The 19,675-nt window shown below is 40.7% G+C and overlaps 1 protein-coding gene across 13 annotated transcripts in view, besides 1 other annotated feature; it reads right to left on the bottom strand.

Moving 5' to 3' along the window:
- SLC1A3 (solute carrier family 1 member 3) overlaps positions 1-19,675 on the bottom strand; it is a 91,747-nt gene that overhangs the window by 23,534 nt on the left and 48,538 nt on the right. The window lies entirely within an intron of this gene.
- Positions 17,556-18,755: an enhancer, noted in NCBI's record as "CDK7 strongly-dependent group 2 enhancer chr5:36646148-36647347 (GRCh37/hg19 assembly coordinates)". NCBI's record gives its function as "activates an origin of replication core promoter dependent on BRD2, BRD4, P300/CBP, MED14 and CDK7 cofactors, with strong dependence on CDK7, by STARR-seq in HCT116 cells {active_cell/tissue: HCT116}" and the evidence as "EXISTENCE:reporter gene assay evidence [ECO:0000049][PMID:35650434]".

The raw sequence follows: 19,675 nt of genomic DNA, 5'->3' as shown, positions 1-19,675 counted from the left end.
GCTCTATCTGTCCATATGTTAACAGGTGAATGAATGAGTAAATTAAAATAGAAATGCAGAGAAGGGAATGAAAGAGAGGCCTGTGGTCTAAATGTGTGCCTTCATGAAGTCAATTTAGTAGGTCATAACTAGTATTTTCATCAATTAATCAAAGTGAATAGAAAATATCACAGTGTGTCACATGTGGTAAAGGTAAGTATTGTTTTGTGAGAATTTTTTTTCAGCTCTCTGTGTGTATGTGTGTGAGTGCCAGGTTGCAATACAAAATATATTTATTATTGTAGTTTCTGGTAAAAAAAAAAATGTTTGTAAACACTGGCATAAACCCCCATTTGGTTAATAGTAGAGGCTTTAAAAAGGAGCCAATGGGCCGGGCATGGTGGCTCAAACCTGTAATTCCAGCACTTTGGGAGGCCGAGGAGGGTGGATCACTGGAGGTCAGGAGTTCGAGACCAGCCTGGCCAACATAGTGAAACCCTGTCTCTACTAAAAATACAAAATTAGCTAGGTGTGGTGGTGCACGCCTGTAATCCCAGCTAGTTGGGAGGCTGAGGCAGGAGAATCCCTCGAACCTGGGAGGCAGAGGTTGCAGTGAGCTGAGATCATGCCATTGCACTCCAGCCTGGGCAAAAAAGAGCGAAACTCTGTCTAAAAACAACAACAACAGCAACAAAAAGGAACCATGAACTATTTATTGTCTTCCCTTCCTACCATCTTTGTTTCCTATGATCTTGGGCTGTCCACCATACCCAAGAACTTGCTTCATCTCACTAGTGGAGACCACAGAATGAGGATAGTGACCTTGGGTATTGGGTCATTTCACTTGAACAGAAATTTTATGGACATTGTAACAAGGGAATACATTTTAGAAAGGTTCACTTCACGGAATTTTGAGCAAAGAAGGCAATTTACTTTTATCAGTGATTCTTGGTGAAGAGAATGAAACCATCTCCATGAAGAGCGGAGAACGATTTTGCAGAATTCACAGTCACAAGCATTTTCACACGGGTTTTCACCCTGGTCAAAGGTTCCTTCTCATTATGGCTGTTTATAATATCACAAATGACATTTTATTAGCCTATAACACAGCTTAGCCTTATAAGATTACATTACATGAAAACACCAAGTGTTCCTTACAGATTTGCCACGTGTGATGGCACATACTTTATCAGGGAAACTGATTTTTAAATTTGACCCTTAAAACTTGTCAACACGTCTTTTTCTTCAAGCTCTAGTGTTCCTTAAGAAAACTAAGTGCAGGGCCGGGCGCGGTGGCTCACGCCTATAATCCCAGTACTTTGGGAGGCTGAGGCAGGTGGATCACCTGAGGTCAGGAGTTCGGGACCAGCCTGGCCAACATGGGGACCCCGTCTCTACTAAAAATACAAAAAATACAAAAAAAAAAAAAAAAAAAAAAAAATGCCGGGCGTGGTGGAGCATGCCTGTAATCCCAGCTACCCGAGAGGCTGAGGCAGGAGAATTGCTCGAACCTGGGAAGCGGAGGTTGCAGGGAGCAGAGATCACGCTACTGCACTCCAGCCTGGGGGACAGAGCGAGACTCCGTCTCTAAAAACAAAAACAAACAAACAAGAAAAGAAAATGAAGTGTAGAAAAGCAAAAGAGAAACATTCTCTTTTGAAAGATTGTTAAGTAGAAAAAAATCAGTGGCGAAGACAGTATTATTAGTGGCAGAAAAAGTCAACTAAATCACTGTATCCTCGGTCTGATAGGACTAAGCAGACAATCCCTTTTCTCTGGCTACAGTCGTCCTTTGAGGATGAACTTTAATTCGGAAGCAATGAGAGGAAACTGAGGCACAACTTCCACCACTGCTACTTCTAACATCAAAGAACTTCTAGCGCCCTTTGGCTTAACCTTTGGGGTGGAGACTGCCTCTCCCGGGTAAGCAGCCCATGGCGGCCTCTGAGTGGTCAAGCTTTATTTCTGTCTACGCTGGTCTTGACCATTCAATTGACTCTCATGACAGCTTAACACAGTCCCGCGATCTTCCCAGTATGTGGTTTGCCAGAGGGCCCACCGCAGGGACTTCCTCTCACTCTCAGCGAGGTCGCCGGAAACTCTCAGAAGGGGCAGCTCCGAAATTCACTTCTCAGAGGCCCACAGCTGCCGGCGCGAGCCCCGCTGCGAGGTGATTTGGATACCCATTTACCCTTCACATGAGCCCATCCTTCGCTCACTGTATTGGAATGTGCCGCACAATATGCTTTTTTGAAGAGGAACCAGAGAGTAATTCATCTTCTTTATGTGTGCTAAGCAGAGCAAGAGGGAGAGGCGAGCGGGACCCACCATGGGCCGGGGAGTCGTGATTAGTAACAGCTGACAGCCTCAGACCAAGACCCTTTCTCTGGCTACCTCATTGTAACAGCCGAGCACAAAGGAATGACTGTCCTCTTGCCAAGATTTAGAAACCCAGGACCGCAGAAAATAGCAGCAAAAAGCAAAGTGTGTGTTGGGCAGTGGGGGCAACAGGCTGACGAAAGCCACCCTTGGATCTACCTGTAAAGCCTGGGTTTGGAAAGAAACCTCTATCACGTGGAAAGCCCTGTCTCCCCATGATGCCCATTCACCAGCAGCACCAGGACCACTGATGGTGGCGGGAAAAGTAGGTGAATTTACGCACAGAAAGAGCCTGGGGAGAGCAGCAAATTGCTTTGGTTTAATGAGAGGAAGTTCTTTGAGGGCCAGAGCCCCAGCCTGTCTCCCTTTCTTTCCAAAAGAATCATGATTTACAACTGACCACTGGATGAGTAGTTTGCAATTTCCACAAAAGCTGTCTTTACTTTGGATTGTGTTTCTTGTTAGCGAAAAGACCTTCCCGCATGACTGTCTTGGGAAGATGATCGAGATAGCACGCTTCCTAGCTGGCAGAATGCTAAATGGGACCGAATTCCACCACCAGGCTTGACTTGTCCAAAATTAACCAAAAGGCTTCTCAAATTGACTGCAGAGCATGTCAGACTCAAGGGGTGACCTTTCTTCCCAAGGAAGGCCTGTCCCTCACAGAAGAAAAGGAATTGAAATGAAAGCCTCATAGAAGTTGAAAGCAATATATGAATGTTAAAGACCAGTTCATTCTGGCCCTGCTTTGCCAAAGAACAGCTGAAGCAGGAGTGTGACTCCAGGCCCAGTCATGAGGCTGGGAAGCAGCAGATTCTTATGGCCAAAGGAGCCACATGCACCTGTGCCCACCCACACTCTGCAAAGATTCTGGAACCAGATTCCAACGTTAGCACTCTGAAATGGACTGAAGTTGTTTGTTGCTTGAAACTGAAATTAAGATTTTTCAAACAGATGTATTTCTTTAAAGAAAAAAAAGCAACTAGTGAATAAAACATGTTCACCTTGTTTCTTTTCTTTTCTTTTTCTTTGAGACGGAGTCTCGCTCTGTTGCCCAGGCTGGAGTGCAGTGGCATGATCTCAGCTTACTGCAACCTCTGCCTCCCAGGTTCAAGTGATTCTCCTGCCTCAGCCTCCCAAGTAGCTGGGATTACAGGTGCCCACCACCACGCTTGGCTAATTTTTGTATTTTTAGTAGAGACGGGGTTTCGCCACGTTGGCCTGTCTGGTCTCGCACTCCTGACCTCAGGTGATCCGCCCGCCTGGACCTCCCAAAGTGCTGAGATTACAGGCATGAGCCACCACTTTGTCTATTTTTTAAATTAAATCCAGAGATGTGAATCTTATCTACTATATAAGAAAATACATTTAAAAAATTCAGGTCCACACTTTGGCCAGTAAAAAGAGTGTGCAAAATGAAATCTTTGGTGATAGAGCTGGGGCTGAGGAGAGGAGAAAGGGAAGATTGTGGAGATAGAGCTGAGAGAATGACAAGAGGAGAAAGAGAAAAGAGAAAACGTAGAGAAAAGGAAGGGAGATGAGAAAGCAAAGGAAGATGGGATGGAGAAAAATTCAGAAGGGGCTTTTATCTTAGTCAGCATATTTCTTGAGCTGTGGCCAACGGCACCCCCTTTCAGTTCTGATTAGTTTTCTCAGCATTTAAAAGCTCATTGGTTGTTTTATCTAAAAGAATAGTTCCTATAAAAGAATAGTCTCACCTAGGGAGTGGGAGATTGTTCTCTCAGCTACCAGAGCCAAACAATAAAGCAGTGTTACTGCATAGAGTGAAAACACTGTCGGAGTAAACTCTAGAATTGGTCGGCTTCCCTGTTTCTGGTTACCATTGTAACAGAACATTCTTCCCTTGGAACAGGAAAAGCTACATTTTTGCCCCCAGGTCCAAGGGCAGCAATGGAATTGAATAATTGCTGATATATTCCACAAGTAGTGGCATAACACTTTTGTAGCTTTCTTCCTTCTCTAGGAGGGAGTTGTTTCTGCACATTCTACTTTAGTTTTGTAATACTTACGTGCATAGTTTCTTCTCAGCTTCATATTCCAATGTTTTTTTTCAAGGAGTATTTAGGAATCCCAAAAATTATACAAGAAAATTGTGGACAGTCCCTTATAGCAAACTTCACTTATCCTGAATAGATTTCAGGGGTCTAGGAAGGCGTATAGAGAAAGGATGTGGAAGTAACATTTGGTTGACTTGAGTTGCATGAGACGGGTTGGTAAAATAATTCTTTAATCTGGAATTTAGGAATAGAGTGAGTGATGAAGATACAGTCACCAGGGTTTGGAACAAACACAATTGGTAGATGGATATATTTGAGTAAAATATAGTCACACTAAATGATTTAAAAAGACAGCGAGTGATAGAACTGGGGACATTGTTGTTAAAGAGAAGTATGGAATAGAAGAACTATACATAAGGTAAAGAGAAGCCAGGTACAAAACAATGATTTTTAAATGAAGGATTCAAAGGACTATGGCTCATCACAAATAATGGAATGAATTGGTAAGGTAGTGAAGTTACATTCAGGATAACATGCTTCTTCTAAAAGTGACTATAAATTACTCCTACAATTAAAATTTTTCACTTATTCGTGCACTCTTTCAACATTTATTAAGGACCTTCTTGATACTCTGGCAAAGGACATAAACATTAAGCCTTTGATGTATTTATTACAGTCAACAGGACTTAAAAAAATATTGTGAAACTGGCCTAAACAAATAAAACACATCAAATTATCTAGCGGGGTGATTTGGAATGGAATTGGAGGAAAACAGAAACGTGTTGGTACGAACTGGAAGGAAATGGTTGTCATCAACATGAACTCCAGGGCTGCTTGGCTTGAATCCTGGCTCCCCCCACTTATCAGCTTGTGACTGGTCAAGGTATGTAATCCCTCACTCTCTTGGCAAATGGATGTTTTTGAGAATTCAATAAATTAACATACGTGATGCCTTAATAATATGTGGCATGATGACAGTGATGTTTTTATTTTTGCTTTTAAAAAAGGATTTTTAGCTCTGAAGGGCTCCTTGGAACACCATTGTAAACCATAAGAACTCAGTCAAATTAGAGCCTACTGCCAGGCACTGTGCTGAGTGCTTCACCTCCTTTATCCTCCTAACAACCCTTCAAGGTGGAGGCTAACAATGGTCACTCTGCATTTATGGATTAGGAAACAGGGAGGTTAAGTCCCTCACTCAGGATCACACAGCTAATAAGTGGCATTGCTGGCATCTGAAGTCTCTCCAACTCCAGTGCCCACTGTTTGATCATTATGCCTACTGTCTTGGAGATTTTCTGTAAAATAAATTCTTCTTCACACTAGACTGGTATCAATCATTGATGTGCATTTGATCTATCCAATGTGGAATTGTGATAGTAATCTGCTTAAAGTCATGTTTGAAAGGAAGCCATATATCACAGTAAAAAAAAAAATGGGTAGGTTGTAAAGTGCCACAGTCATGGTGAGTGGCTACTGTCACAGCCCTGGGACCTGCACTGGAGTTAGTTTGACATCTCTCATTGAACTGGAGAGTCATAACATAGTGGCTTTATTCAGAAAATGACATACTAATGGATGTCTTAAGTCAAAGAAGAAAGAAAAAAACCTCAACCATGGATAATTACACATTGCAAAGGCCATGGGTAATCCCTAGAATGCCCAGGCCAGTTGGTGAAGCTGCAGCATTTCTCCCCCAACTCTGTTTAGAGTGTCAGTTACCAAACTTTCTCTGAGTCCCACCACAATGGTGCTCACAATCTTCTAAGGTAAGTCTTCACCATGGGCAGCTTTGATTAAACAAACAAACAAAAAAAACTGCTTAGAAATCTAAAATCTCATTCCTTTTAACCCTTTCCCTTTGAGATAAATTTTTGCTTCTGGAGGAACCCAAAGCAAGTCTGAGATACGTTTACCAGGGGACTTCGGTCTTCTTTTCTATAGACTCAATATGCATCATTTCTCCAACAGATCCTCATATATCATTATTTTTTTTCAGATGCTCACCAACCTGTAATGCCTCCCACTGCCTACCAGTCAATGTCCTCACGCTCTGGCCCAAACCTTCTTTTTTCAGCTTCATTTCCTACGCAGGCCTACCCTATTCTGCCAGGCAACCCAGACTTCTCAGCATTCCCTAGACATGCCTTGGGTTTTCCTGTCTCTGTCTCTTTGCTCTTAAGGCTTCTTCTGCTCTCGTCCTCATTTCCTGTGGAAATCTGACCACTAGCCCAGCCCCTGAATTCCCACAACCCTTTCTTTGTGCTTCTTGGTTTCGTGGGGCGCTTTGTTTTATAGTCATGCGTGTACCTGTCTGACTCTCTATTTAAATTTTCAACTCCTTGAGCCTAGAGACTGGCAAAGTCTCTTTGTGTCTTTATTGCCTGCCCTGGTTAGCACATTGCCTGCCCAAAACAGGAGTCTAATAAATGTGTCTTGGATTGGATTCAACACCCTCTTAGTAGCTACTCTGCTTTGTCAAAGCCTCTCCTGAATGTGCTCAGAACCAAACAAATTATTCCCAATGCAGTGCGGTCAGCGCAGAGTACAGTGACTATTAATATTTCTACTGAGGAAGCACACGGCTACATTCATTCTTTTTTAGCCACCACTTCCTACTGTTGGTTCACATTAAGCCTTTAGTCACATGAACTGCTGCCAAGCTCAGTTGTTCCCCATCCTGTAATTGCGCAATTGCCTTTTGAATCTAAAAGCAGAAATGTACACTTATTCCTTGCTCAACTTCATCATGTTGGTTTCCATCCAGCATTGCAGCCTATTGAAATCATTATGAATCATGATCACAGGCATATGCAGTGGAAGCCATCCTTTTTGGGCTTATGTCGTATGAAAACACTATGTAGATGACTTCTATGTTGTTGAGTCGTTGATTAAAGTATGGAACAGGGCAGGGTTTTTTTAGAAAAGTACATAAGGGTGCTTCACCAGGTATCTTTGCAGGTTGACATGGAGCCTTAAACACTCATTAAGTCTAGATATTCAGCCAGATTCAAAGACACTTCGTGATTTTTATCAGGTCCTATTTTATTACTAAAGGTATTAGGGAAGATTCAGAATTTTTCAGAATAACCAAAACAAATTGTTTCAGGAATTCCACAACCAAAAAGTGATTATAGAAAGGGAGCACTTTTTAAACAAAAAAATTCCCTATAGCACATGAAGCTATTACAAGATGTTTTGTGGGAATACTGTTAGCCTGACTTTGTAACTTCAGGAATTACTGTTTTCCTAAAAGAATCAGTAGTATCAATCTAGAGAAGTATAAGCTAATAAATATCCTTCCCCTCTAGATAGGAATGTCATATCATTTGGGCAGAGATGTAAATGCATCAAGGATCAATACAAACAGAAGTTATTCATATGCAAAAGAAATAACAGCATAATTATTTTAGGCTTCAGAAAAGTTAATTGGATAATTCATTAGCAAAAATTTCTGGTTGTGCTACAATGATTATTAAAAAGTCCATTCTTTTAAAGTATATGCCTTAAGTTCAACTTCACTTTTATTCATTCTGGAATAACATATCAGTGATTTTCCAGGTCACAGCCCTTGAAGTATAGTAATACACGATGGTTTACATTGATTACTATATGCCCAGTGACTAACACTGCAGGAACTCAGTATAGCTTTGTTGAATGAATGATGAATGACAAATTCTGCAAATTCAGCAGGTGAGAATAATTAAGCAACTATACTCAATCTACAAATCAATGACATAATTTTGTAACATACTATAGCAAGAGTTCATCACTGCAACCAGGGCTGCAATGCAAATGTACAAATAGTAGCTCCTCTTCTCAAGGAGTTCTTTTGTTGCTAGACAAGTCAGATTCTCACTGACCAATTAGACAGTCATAGTCTCACCAAATAATAGAATGTTCAACCACACATGATGTAAAGGGCTAAGTACACGAGTACAGAAAAATTATGAAAAATATTTAGCTCATGTGGAGAAAAGACTTAAGGGAACAAATGCACTTTAAAATTATAAACTGATCCAGTACTAATCTAGAGGCCACATACCACATCAGGGGTTACATGGCTCTAGAGAGAGGGGGCTTTAGTGACACGTAGATTTGAGTTTGAATTCAAGCTCAGCCCCTTGCTAGCAGGGAGACCCTGAGACATTATGCAACCTCTCTGAGACCTAGTTTCTTGATCTATAAAATGGGAATAATAACAATGACCTTTCAGAAGGAATAACAAGTACATATGTTTAATAACCAGCATATTTTTTTTACCCAGTAGTTGCTAGCAATTATTATGGCAGGTAAAATTAAAAAGTCACTGACCAATTATAGAATTAACCTTTAATCAAGATTAGGATTTTAGTACTTTAAGGTAGAATAAGTATAATCTTTACTGCAACACCAATGTTCTCAGTCATTTACAGCTTCTGATGTAAATCACATCTTATTTATCTGATTACTGAGGAGCAATCATGCGTCCAGCTCTGTTCCAGGCTAAGTAAACCCTGTGATGTGTTTCCTCTAACTTGCACTCATCTTAATGCAATGGAAACTTGATTGTAGTGAACATAATTCCACAGGGAATCTCAAACACCCTTGGAAACCATTCTGTCATCAAAAAGTCAAAATTAAATGCCTAAAACTGGCCGGGGCCCTCCAGGTCTGGTGAGTGAGGTCAAGGAACCCAAAAGGCTTGATGATGTATAAAATGACACCACTAGTTAGTGGTGAGGCTAGGACAGAATGAAAGTTTCATGGCCTTTTGATAAGGCAAAGTGGCTTAAAGCTTTGCTTTAGTGCATGAGTTGGAAACTGGTTAAGTTTATGACAAGTGGAGTTTTCCCAATCTTTACAAGGTCACAAGCTTTCTTGGCAAGGTAGATTTTTTAATTCTAACATAGAAAATACAGTGACTTTTAATTGTTTACTCAGGGTCACCCATAAGCAGTTTTCAGAAACATCTATGAACTGCAGTAAGCAGCACTCAGGAGGCAGCCAGTCAGCAGAAACGGGGTGAAGTAACATGCAACACGATCTCTGAAACTGCCTAACAATTAGTGACAAAGCCAGGGCACAGCCAGTGAGAATGCCATCATTTGACCAAGCCGAGGCTGAGGAAATGATCCTCTCTAGGCAGACACTAGATGCAAGTGCAAAGAGAGACCTTACACCTGATACTCTCCGGCAAAGAAGCCAAAAGGGCTTTTGAAGTTGGTGTTTATAATATTAAAGCAGAATCTCAGAGTGTAGTAGTCACTGACATTAGCCAATGCCTATAGATTCACATAGACCACACTCACAGCCATGATTCCCCGTGAGCTCACCTCCAGGTCCCCCAGGAGGCACATACAACAAACATGTTTATTACTGTCACTACTATTATTTCCACTCCATAAACAAGCCCTGAATGCCAAAGTGACTTCTCCCACAGCTAGTCAATGCTGCAACTGGTAGCTCCAGAAGTTTGTGTTCTTAAGAACCAAACAGGAATTACTACAAATAAATGCAGCCAGAGCGAATGTCCCCTGCACCACTCAGCTGGCCCCTGTTTACCTTTTCAGATGCAAACATCTCCTCACTCTGCAGAGGAAGGAGATGTAGGACCTGGAGTCTATGGTTAACAGTGCTGTGACTTCCTTCTTAGGCACCTAGCACAGCTAACTGGAGGGCCTCAATACTGAATGAATTAACAACCTCAGCTAGACAATAGCAGCCCTGCATGACGCAGAGCACACATGCAATGGGGACAAGGAAGGGAAGGTAGCATGAAGACATATGGCAGATGCTCGGTCAAGACTGTTTTCTGTGTATCCAGTGAGGGGACAGAGCTATACAAGGCTTGCTAGGGGAAAGGAAATGGTGCCTCTTGAGAAGTGTATCGGCATCCACAGTCTTATGGAGTCTGTGCCCCTTTAGAAGTGTTATCAGCATCCAGTCTTAGGGAGGCTGCAGCATTTGTAAAATGCTTCATGAATGTGTGTGGAATAACTTTCGAATGGGGGGAAAGGTAAAACATTTCAAGTAGGGAGATAAACTGTGTTAAGAAGTCAAGTGATTGGGATATCGATGAGCAGGGACTCAGTCATTAAGATACACAAACCACCCTTCATCTACCACTGAGTGTTCTGCAGCACGAGAACATTTCCATTGGCTCATCCCACTCACAGAGTGTTTTCTGTATGCCCAAACCATTTTCACTGTGTTTCCTAACAGCCCCTGGAGGGGTGTAAGAACCCCTCAGATGTGGATTTTGAGTCTTCTGACATTAAAGCTGATTAGGAAGAAAACATTAGGCTGGGCGTGGTGGCTCACACCTGTAATCCCAGCACTTTTGGAGGCTGAGGAGGGTGGATCACGAGGTCAGGAGTTCGAGACCAGCCTGACCAACATGGCAAAACCCTGTCTCTACGAAAAATACAAAAATTAGCTGGATGTGGTGGCACATGCCTGTAATCCCAACTACTCAGGAGGCTGAGGCAGGAGAATCACTTGAACTCAGGAGGCGAAGGTTGCAGTGAGCCAAGATCGCACCACTGCACTCCAGTCTGGGCGACAGAGCGAGGCTCTCTCAAAAACAAAACAAACAAACAAAAGCATCAATATTTTCCTTATTTTTAGCTAATTATCCTCAGCTCATGTGGGATGCATTTATTGAGCACTTATTGTATGCCACTCTCAGGAGCTCTAGAAAGACCTAGTGTTTGCTCTCAAAGCTCACAAGTCCAGGGCATCACAGCATTCCATGAGACAGAACAGTGCATCAGGTTGAGAAAGAAGAGATCTGTGTGTGTCAGAAGTGAGGGGCCCAGGAGAGAGGCACTTGGGAAACTCTACTAAACTATACATTGGAGTTCTGGCAACACTTGACTGCTGTCAGGAACAACTGTAAAAGCTCATCTAGAAAGAAGGAGCAATTTTAGTGCCAAGTCAGATCTGCCCATGCGTGTTTACCAGATTCGACTTTGAGAGCCAAGAATTTAGTAGTGGTGTTGTCAGAACCAATAAATAAGTTAGGGGAACTTGGGAGGGGTAAATGTGGAGTCAGAGGTTAAGTATTTATGTGAACACCGCCACACATTAAAGGCCTAAAAGCTGTTGAAATTGTAATTATCTGACATGAAATAACCTAAATTTTGAAAACCAGTGTCGCTCACAATGCTGCCAAACACCTAGCATCTGTTCAATTCTGTTATGAACCATTTCCTTGGGGAGGGAACGTGAAAGAATTGTAAGCAGCTGCTGAGAAGTGTGATGGCAGGGGATGCAGTTTCCACATTGCAAATTTACATGCTAACTTATTCATTAAGTAATACCATTAATGATCACAGATGTGCAGCAAGATGGGCAAAGCATTCAATCTCAAGGCAAATATGAGGTCAGTGCTTCTAAGAGGTCATAAAACAAGAAGAAACATCTTAGAAAATGCATAAAAAGCAAACTAGCAAATCAATCTGACTTCTCACACTGGGTTTATGAAGCTAGACCTGCATTATCCAGTGGAAGCATTTGAATGTTCAGTATTGTACCCTCACCCAAAGCATTTCCAAGTTTGCTATTCACAGCAGTCACGCCAATTTCTGTAGTTCAATTTTTAGAGGTATTAACTTTATTTTGTTTTGGGGAAAGTGTGGGTATGTAATGTCGCTAAGAATTGTTCTTGGTAAAATTTTCTTCCGCTGTGCATTTACATCTGGGGATCACTATGGGAGGAGAAGAATAAAGCCATGTGAGACAGCAGTGTTAGTAATACATAGATATATTGGGTTACTTTCTTTTTACTAAATATTTTAGGCCCAGTTCTTGCTCCATGGGTAACTCTGGGAATTCTCTGGAGGCTTCAGAAGACGTGAATCTAGCTCTTTGTGTCTGTAACTGTACACCTGTTATTGATGCAGAGGATGAAAAGAACACACCAAACACACATTGTTCTATTTTTAAGCTGTTGTACTCAGCTGCAGGGGAGGGAGAGATGCCCTTTCTCCCCTTGAAAGTTACCAACAGCCAGCTATTCTGCTGTAGCGCAAACTCAATTTACCAACTTTGAAGGCAGAGGATGATGATCCTAAGCACTGAAGGAGAGTGAATGTTGTGTGTGTGTGTGTGTGTGTATGTGTGTGTGCGCTCACGCCACTTGGAGCTGGGAGTGCCAAAATAAATCTTTCCTCACATCTGGAAATGCCTGTCAGGGAAGCAAACTAGCTGGCAATCAGAAAACTCTCATGTAACACTCACTGCTTTCAACAGCAGGCACACACGACTTCATGTCCTACGGCAGAATTGCATGCCATGGCTTTAGTAGGCATTCCACCAAATATTAGCTGAAGGATTGAATCAGTGAATCTTTCCAGGAAAAGCATGGCAAAGCTCTCTTTGCCTGTTTAAAAAGATAAAAAAGCCAACCACATAAATTGGCAGTAGGGTGCAATATTTCCCTGAGTCAAGAGTCCGGTGTTGGTTTTTCTGGTCTGACACTGCTCAGGGAAGCAGTGTAATACTTTCAGGACCTTGGAACTTTGACCCTCGGCCCTTCCATAATAACCCTTTCTGAAAAATGTTATGCAGCATATAGTACTTTTTAACATGAAAGTGGAGACTTTCACAACACTTTATAAAATAACTTAAGACTCTCTGGAATCTCGAAAGATGATTTCTGTCTGTCCCCAGGGATGGAGAGCTGAACAAAATGGTCCCTGTTTTCATGACACAGTTGGCTGGAGGAGGTGGAGACTGGCAATGGGGCTGCCTAACTGTACTGTGTGTGTAGGAGATGTTTCCTGGAGAAAGTGACATGCAAGGTAAGACCTGAGGGTAAGGAGGGGTTTCAGGTGAAGAAGCTGGGGAAAAGAGTCCAGGCAGACACTAGGGTGGGAGTGGGGTTGGGCTGGGGGTGGGAGGGTGGGGAGGAGGAGTGAGAAATAAGACAGAAAGGCACAAGCTGGAGCCATGTGAGAAGTTTGATCTTTATTCCAAAAGCAATGTGGGGAATGAGCCCAGAGTTGAGTTTTAGGAAGAACATGCTACCTTTGTGCAAAAAAAGTAGGTAAGAAAAGAGCAAGACCCTGGATTGTGGGGTAGGCGGATGGCAGGGAGACTAGAAAGGAAGTTAGTGTAGATTAGGATCAATATGGTGTTGCCCAGACTAGGGTGCAGATGGTGGCCATAGTAGAGGGCAGTGGAGTTAGGGAGGAAGAGTCAGCAAGCCTGGTGTGGGGAAGGAACCCAAGGAGGGGCCAAGTTACTAGTTTAGCCCCTAGTTTCTATATTTCCTTTTTTTTTTTTTTTTTTTTTTTTTAAAAAAAACTTAGTTTCCCTACTCTTATATATCACATCTAGAATAGCTGCATTCCCCATCATGTTAATGTTCTTTTACCAGGAATACATTTGTTCTGCATGCACTCACCATCTTCATAATAATGAAGTAACTCTGCAAATCTTGGTAACTTGAAAGGGAACCTGGGACACAGGCTTAGAATCATGAGGCCTTTACCATGTGTATAAGCTTATTTTGCAGACAATTCTAGTTATGCTTATGCCTTATGACTTATCCTGTAGCTTTTTCCCATTTTCAAAGAAAACAAATAATTTTTGTTGAGTCTGAGGAAGCAGCAATTGCATTGCCAAAGGCTGGCCCTGCCTAACTCAATATCCTTTGGCCAATTGACTTGTACCAGCTTTTAAAAGCTATGGGTTACAAAGGATCTTCAAGGCCATTTCAGCTATAGAGTTTTAATGCTTATATCTATCTCTCATGACTGAAAACCAATGGTTTGGGGGAAAGAGAAAGATGTTAAACAATACCATGGTGACATAATCATCAAAATCCAGATTGTGGAAGACTAATTTTACCTGACAACCTGATCTCTTTAACAAACAAATTACAAATAAGAAGGGTGGGAAAGGAAGACAGAGATAAAGCTGGTGATAGAGAATGTGAGAGCTAGCCTTCAAACTTAACAGATTCAGAGACTCTGTCAAACAAATTCAATGTATGAATATGGCTTGATTCAAACAAACTGTGAAAAGAGAAAGAAAAGAAATGGGGATTTTTGAAAACTGACTAATGGCATTATTAAAGGATTATTATTTATGTTTTAACAAGTGATAATGGGTATTATGATTATATTTAAGGGGAGAAAAATCCTCTTTTACAGATGGATAAATGACCCCAGTGGAAAGCAGCCTTTCCCTCAGACTATAGACAATCCCTATCCTGTATTCAGGAGAGAGGACTTCCACCCTCACCTGAGAGTTAGAGGTCAAGGTAGAAACAGTAGACAAGTTCACTCAACATTTAATCTAGTTTCCCCACCCGCCTCTACACTAAGACTTGGATGTCCCCAAAACAGTAAGGTAGACTGATATTCCCATAGGAAAATTTCACATCTGCCCACAAACGTATTTCTGAAAGTAAAATCAATGCTTGTAAAATTTTGAGTCAAATTTTAAGTGCACTAAAGTAATCCATGATGGAACGTATTATAATTAATTGTTTTTGGAAAACTCACACAGTGATTTTCAATGGGGAAGGCCCATCTCACTCAAGGGTTGAGGACTGGGGGAAATGAATATTGGGATATCAGAATAATCTTTAGTTTTTAAAAGCCATACAAATTAACATAGCTCCTTCTGCTCTCTCTACACCAACAATAAACACAAAAGCAAAGGGTTATATTAGCTACTATTAATTACTGAGAAGAATGACTTTTTATCCCATAAGTATATTGAGACCGGAAAAATTTTGAGAATCATTGATCAGGACTTTTCTTTAGGGTATTTTCTCAAAGTGAACTGTACCTCATTATTTCAACACAGTCAGGAATTGTTTTAGAATAAATCTGTTGGAGTGAAGTTCCTAAAAGAAATACAAATATCTTCCTTTTCAGGAGACAAATAATAAACTATAGAAAGGCTGCAGTCCTACGCTTTATGTCACTTTTTAATCTTAGTCTTGTCAGCCAACAGAACATAGGATTGTGTTTTTCTTTGGGAAGCCTAAAAATAGGAATTTATGCCAATTGTCCCTTTTTGTGTGTGTGGATAGAGATACGGAATAGAGATAGAGAATCTTTTTTTTTTTTTTTTTTTGAGATGGAGTTTTGCTTTTGTTGCCCAGGCTGGAGTGCAATGGCACAATCTCAGTTCACTGCAACCTCCACCTCCCAGGTTCAAGTGATTCTCCTGCCTCAGCCTCTGGAGTAGCTGGGATTACAAGCATGGGCCACCAAACCTGGCTAATTTTGTATTTTTTTTTTAGTAGAGATGGGGTTTCTCCATGTTGGTCCAGCTGGTCTCGAACTCCCAATCTCAGGTGATCCACCCACCTTGGCCTCCCAAAGTACTGGGATTACAGGCATGAGCCACCAGGCCTCGTCAAGATAAATAATCTTTTACCAATGAGTCAATCAGATACATTCATTCAAGTAGGGTAGATGTGTGACTTTTACAATTAAACATACATAAGGACTATAATTATAGCACTGTACAGTCGGGAATGTTCATTATGTGCAGTATAAAAGTATGTATTTGTGGTAGTTTCTTGGGAAATTTTTTTGCTTTTATATTTTTTTTCTTCTATTGCAATCTTAGTAACCCTTGAACCACAGGCCATTAACACAGGATCATGAGAGATCAAAATCTTACACCTTCCCCCATTAAGTCTTCACAATGTATGTAGTTGAAGGGAAAAATGGTGAGATGTGCTATCTTTAATGACCTGTTGATGCCTAAAAAAGCCTTTTCAAGTCTGTCTTGATGACGCTGCACTTTTTGAATGTGGATTTGGATTATCTGTACACGTGAGAAGTTGTTATCAGTAGCTCAGTGTCACAAGAAGGCCAGGGGGGTTATCCTACAAGAACACAGTGATTATGAACAAAGCCCATCCAAGCCATAAATACCTTCCAAGGGCAACCAAAGGTTATAAAAGCTGAACTCCCAGACTATTCTGAGGAAGGGACAGCATGAAACGTGGGACAGAATGCATTTTTAAGTTGTACAAGGTCTGACTTATTATGGAGGCAAAAATGGTAGATTTTGCAGGTTCACATTAACTTAAGAACCGTATTCCAAATTTTACATTAATCGTTAATAAAAAGGTTTCTTGACACAAATCTCAAATTTCCTTGAAAAGTTCCTAAGTTAAATTTCTGAAACTTAAGTTTGTTGCCCAGAGTGGTACAGTCTTGCCTATAGGTAAAAAAATTGAAATGCAAATCTTTAAAAATTTTTCTTTCAACATTGAGACAGTATAATCATAAAAAAACTCTTAATAATGGCAAGGTATTTAGAATAATAAAACACTATTCCTCGCATATTTATATGCTTGGTCCTCAAAAAAAGAGATAAGCAGACACCAAATAGTAAGCTTCATGATAATTAATGCGTTAATTAAATAAAAATCTCAGTGATGAAAGAAATGCAGAATGGCTTACACATTAACCCTAACTCCAAAATGTTCACCATACACTTACAGCTGATTTTAGTCTCCTCCCAATAAATATTGGAATAAATTAAAAACAATAAACAAACAAACAAACAAGAAGCCACGAAGTTAGTGTGGCAAATTGTGATAAAAGAAACTGCTGTCTTTTAAAGCCTAATAATTTTGACTTTTGCCTTTTCTCAAAAACAGTTTTCAATGGCAAAAATAAAACAAAATGGATCCCTGGAGTCTGGATGTTTGCTAAGGAAATGGCCCTTCAGTCAAAATTTGACCCAAATCTCCCTTTTTCCAATGCTGACAAAAAGCTCCTTCCATGAAAGATTAAAATTCTATCTTAATGTTTATAAGTGCTCTTCGGTTGTGAGAAGACTGATAGGTGGAATGGCAAAACAAAATGTGCCAAAGTAAAATTGGTTAAATGTGCTTTAATACATGTGGTCTCTCTCCCCACTTCTCTCTTCCAAGCAATGTTTGGGATCATTTTGAATGCCAAAGGAAATATTCTTCTTAACAAAAAATACAGTTGAATTTGAATGTTTCTTGATTGAACATCAAAAATGGAAACATTTACTTGGATGGACTGAGGATGCTTTACTCCAGAGAAATTCATGGCAGATAATTTTGCCTCTTGTACATTGAAAATAATTAAATTATTTCATTCAAATCCTCTAAGTAGGTTTCATTATGAACAGTATGTGGCTGGAAATAGAAATTGGTCAACAGTGAGTGTTTGTTGAGTACTCACAGGACTTGAAGAGTATTTTAAGAGGCAAATGACCAAATTAGACTCTTAACTGAAACTACAAAAGAACCACACATTTCCAATAGACTAGATAAACAAAAACAAATGAAAATTTGTATTTTGTAATGTGGTGTCATATGAGACCTATATTTTATTAGAATAGATACATCTTGGCTAGTGACACCAAGGCTTTGGAATAGAGGTGGTTTCGATGAGAAACATCCCACAGGACCAGTTCTATCCCTGACCTTTATACCCCAGAAGCACAGTTAATGTGGGACAAATATAGTATACTTTTAAAATTCCTGCCAGCAGCTCTGCTTCCCTCACATCACTCTTTGTACTCCACTGAGGCAGGAATGACTTACACCTGCAAAAATGTGAGGAATCCTTTCCTCAAAAATAGCTCTTTGAACATTATTTGTGGGTACTATTGTAAAAGAGAATTTTCCAAGGCTTAGGAACCACTTACGGAATTGTCTCTCTAGAGAGACCACAAATATGACACCGCAAACTATTTTCCTTGGGAAAATCCTGTCTTTCCACTAGGGAGGTCAATTATTGTTATAGACATGAACTTACCCTTGCAGAGCTCTATGCCTCTCTAACACACACTGAGGACCTTGACTGCAAGCCTTCATCAAAATGGAGACGCACTGTCTGCCTTCATGGAGCTTGCCCTTGGAGAGCTGGCCCTGAGCCACCAAAAGCAAATCACAGGGCTGAGGGACAAAGCTGACACATAGACCTGAATGTGGTTTTGTCCAACTACAGTGGGCAGACATTACTGAATAATACTTAACATTTAAATTTCCAAAAGGTTTGGATATTGTGTTTATATTTTTTTGAGGGTTATTTTATGTCCCTTGTGTGGATTTCAACACAGAAAAGATAAATCTGAAAAAGCAAAACACACAGAGGAAACCAAGTGTTAGTGAAAAATACCAGCCCTTGTTATCTAAACTTGTCCATGCAATATTCTATCAGCGTTCTTTACAATTCCAGATTGTCCTTCGTCAGACCAATAATCTGTCCTGTCTTTGGCAGTTGCACCAGCCAAGCAATGCTGCCCTCCTTGATGTCAACTTCAAAAAACTTACGTATCTTTAGCTTTCCCTTAATGATATAGGTTTGCTTCTTTAAAGAGTATTCAGTGGGTTACCCATAGCTTACTCCAAAGAGTCTCCTGGGGGTTTTCTTTAATGAACAAAAGGAATGTCTTGTAATCACTACATATATTACTTACATATGTGAAAGAAGACATCAATATCAATGCAAGAAGTTGCTTGGCCTGTAGCTCTATTCAAGAATAAAAATGAGCAATAATCTGTACCATGATAAACTGGTATATGAAGTAGAAGTAAATTTTGTGTAGCCTCTGCTGGGAATTCAAGACATGAGATAGAAGAAAACATTAACCCTAACTCTCCAATTATATAGGAAATAATGGATAATTCAAATAACAGGACTCCAAAATGCTCAGTACAAATGTGCAACTGATTTTAACCTCGTCCAAATAAAGACGAATGAAACAACCCCAAAATTACTGAGAATGGTTGGCTTACAAAGCCTTTCCAGCAAGCTTCACTTTGGCCTTTTTTGTTGATGGTCAAAAGGCAATGGAGGGCCGGGCGCGGTGGCTCACATCTGTAATCCCAGCACTTTGGGAGGCCGAGGTGGGGGTAGATCACAAGGTCAGGAGTTCAAGACCAGCCTGGCCAAGATGGTGAAACCTGTCTATACTAAAAATGTAAAAATTAACTGGGCGTGGTGGTAGGCACCTGTAATTCCAGCTACTTGGGCAGCTGGGGAAGAGAATTGCTTGAACCTGGGAGGCGGAGGTTACAGTGAGCCGAGAACACGCCACTGCACTCTGGCCTGGGTGAGAGTGAGACTCTATCAAAAAAAAAAAAAAAAAAAAAAAAAAAAAGGCAGCGGAAGTCAGTCCTCAAAGATAAAATCTGGTTTTGAGGTCCGATTAGTGTTTTCAAAAGGGGAGGATCCCCAAAAACAGAACTTGAGGGGCTCTCCTTGCAGATACTCAAGTGCAGTTACCTCCAGAAAGCAAATATTTACTTTCTTTCTGAATTAAAAATAACTAACTTGGAATTAGAGCTCATAATA

Source organism: Homo sapiens, chromosome 5, assembly GCF_000001405.40.
Source record: "Homo sapiens chromosome 5, GRCh38.p14 Primary Assembly".
NCBI classification, from domain to species: Eukaryota; Metazoa; Chordata; class Mammalia; order Primates; family Hominidae; genus Homo; species Homo sapiens.
The sequence above is the reverse complement of the archived record's forward strand: the minus strand, read 5'-3'. Positions and strand labels throughout refer to the sequence as shown.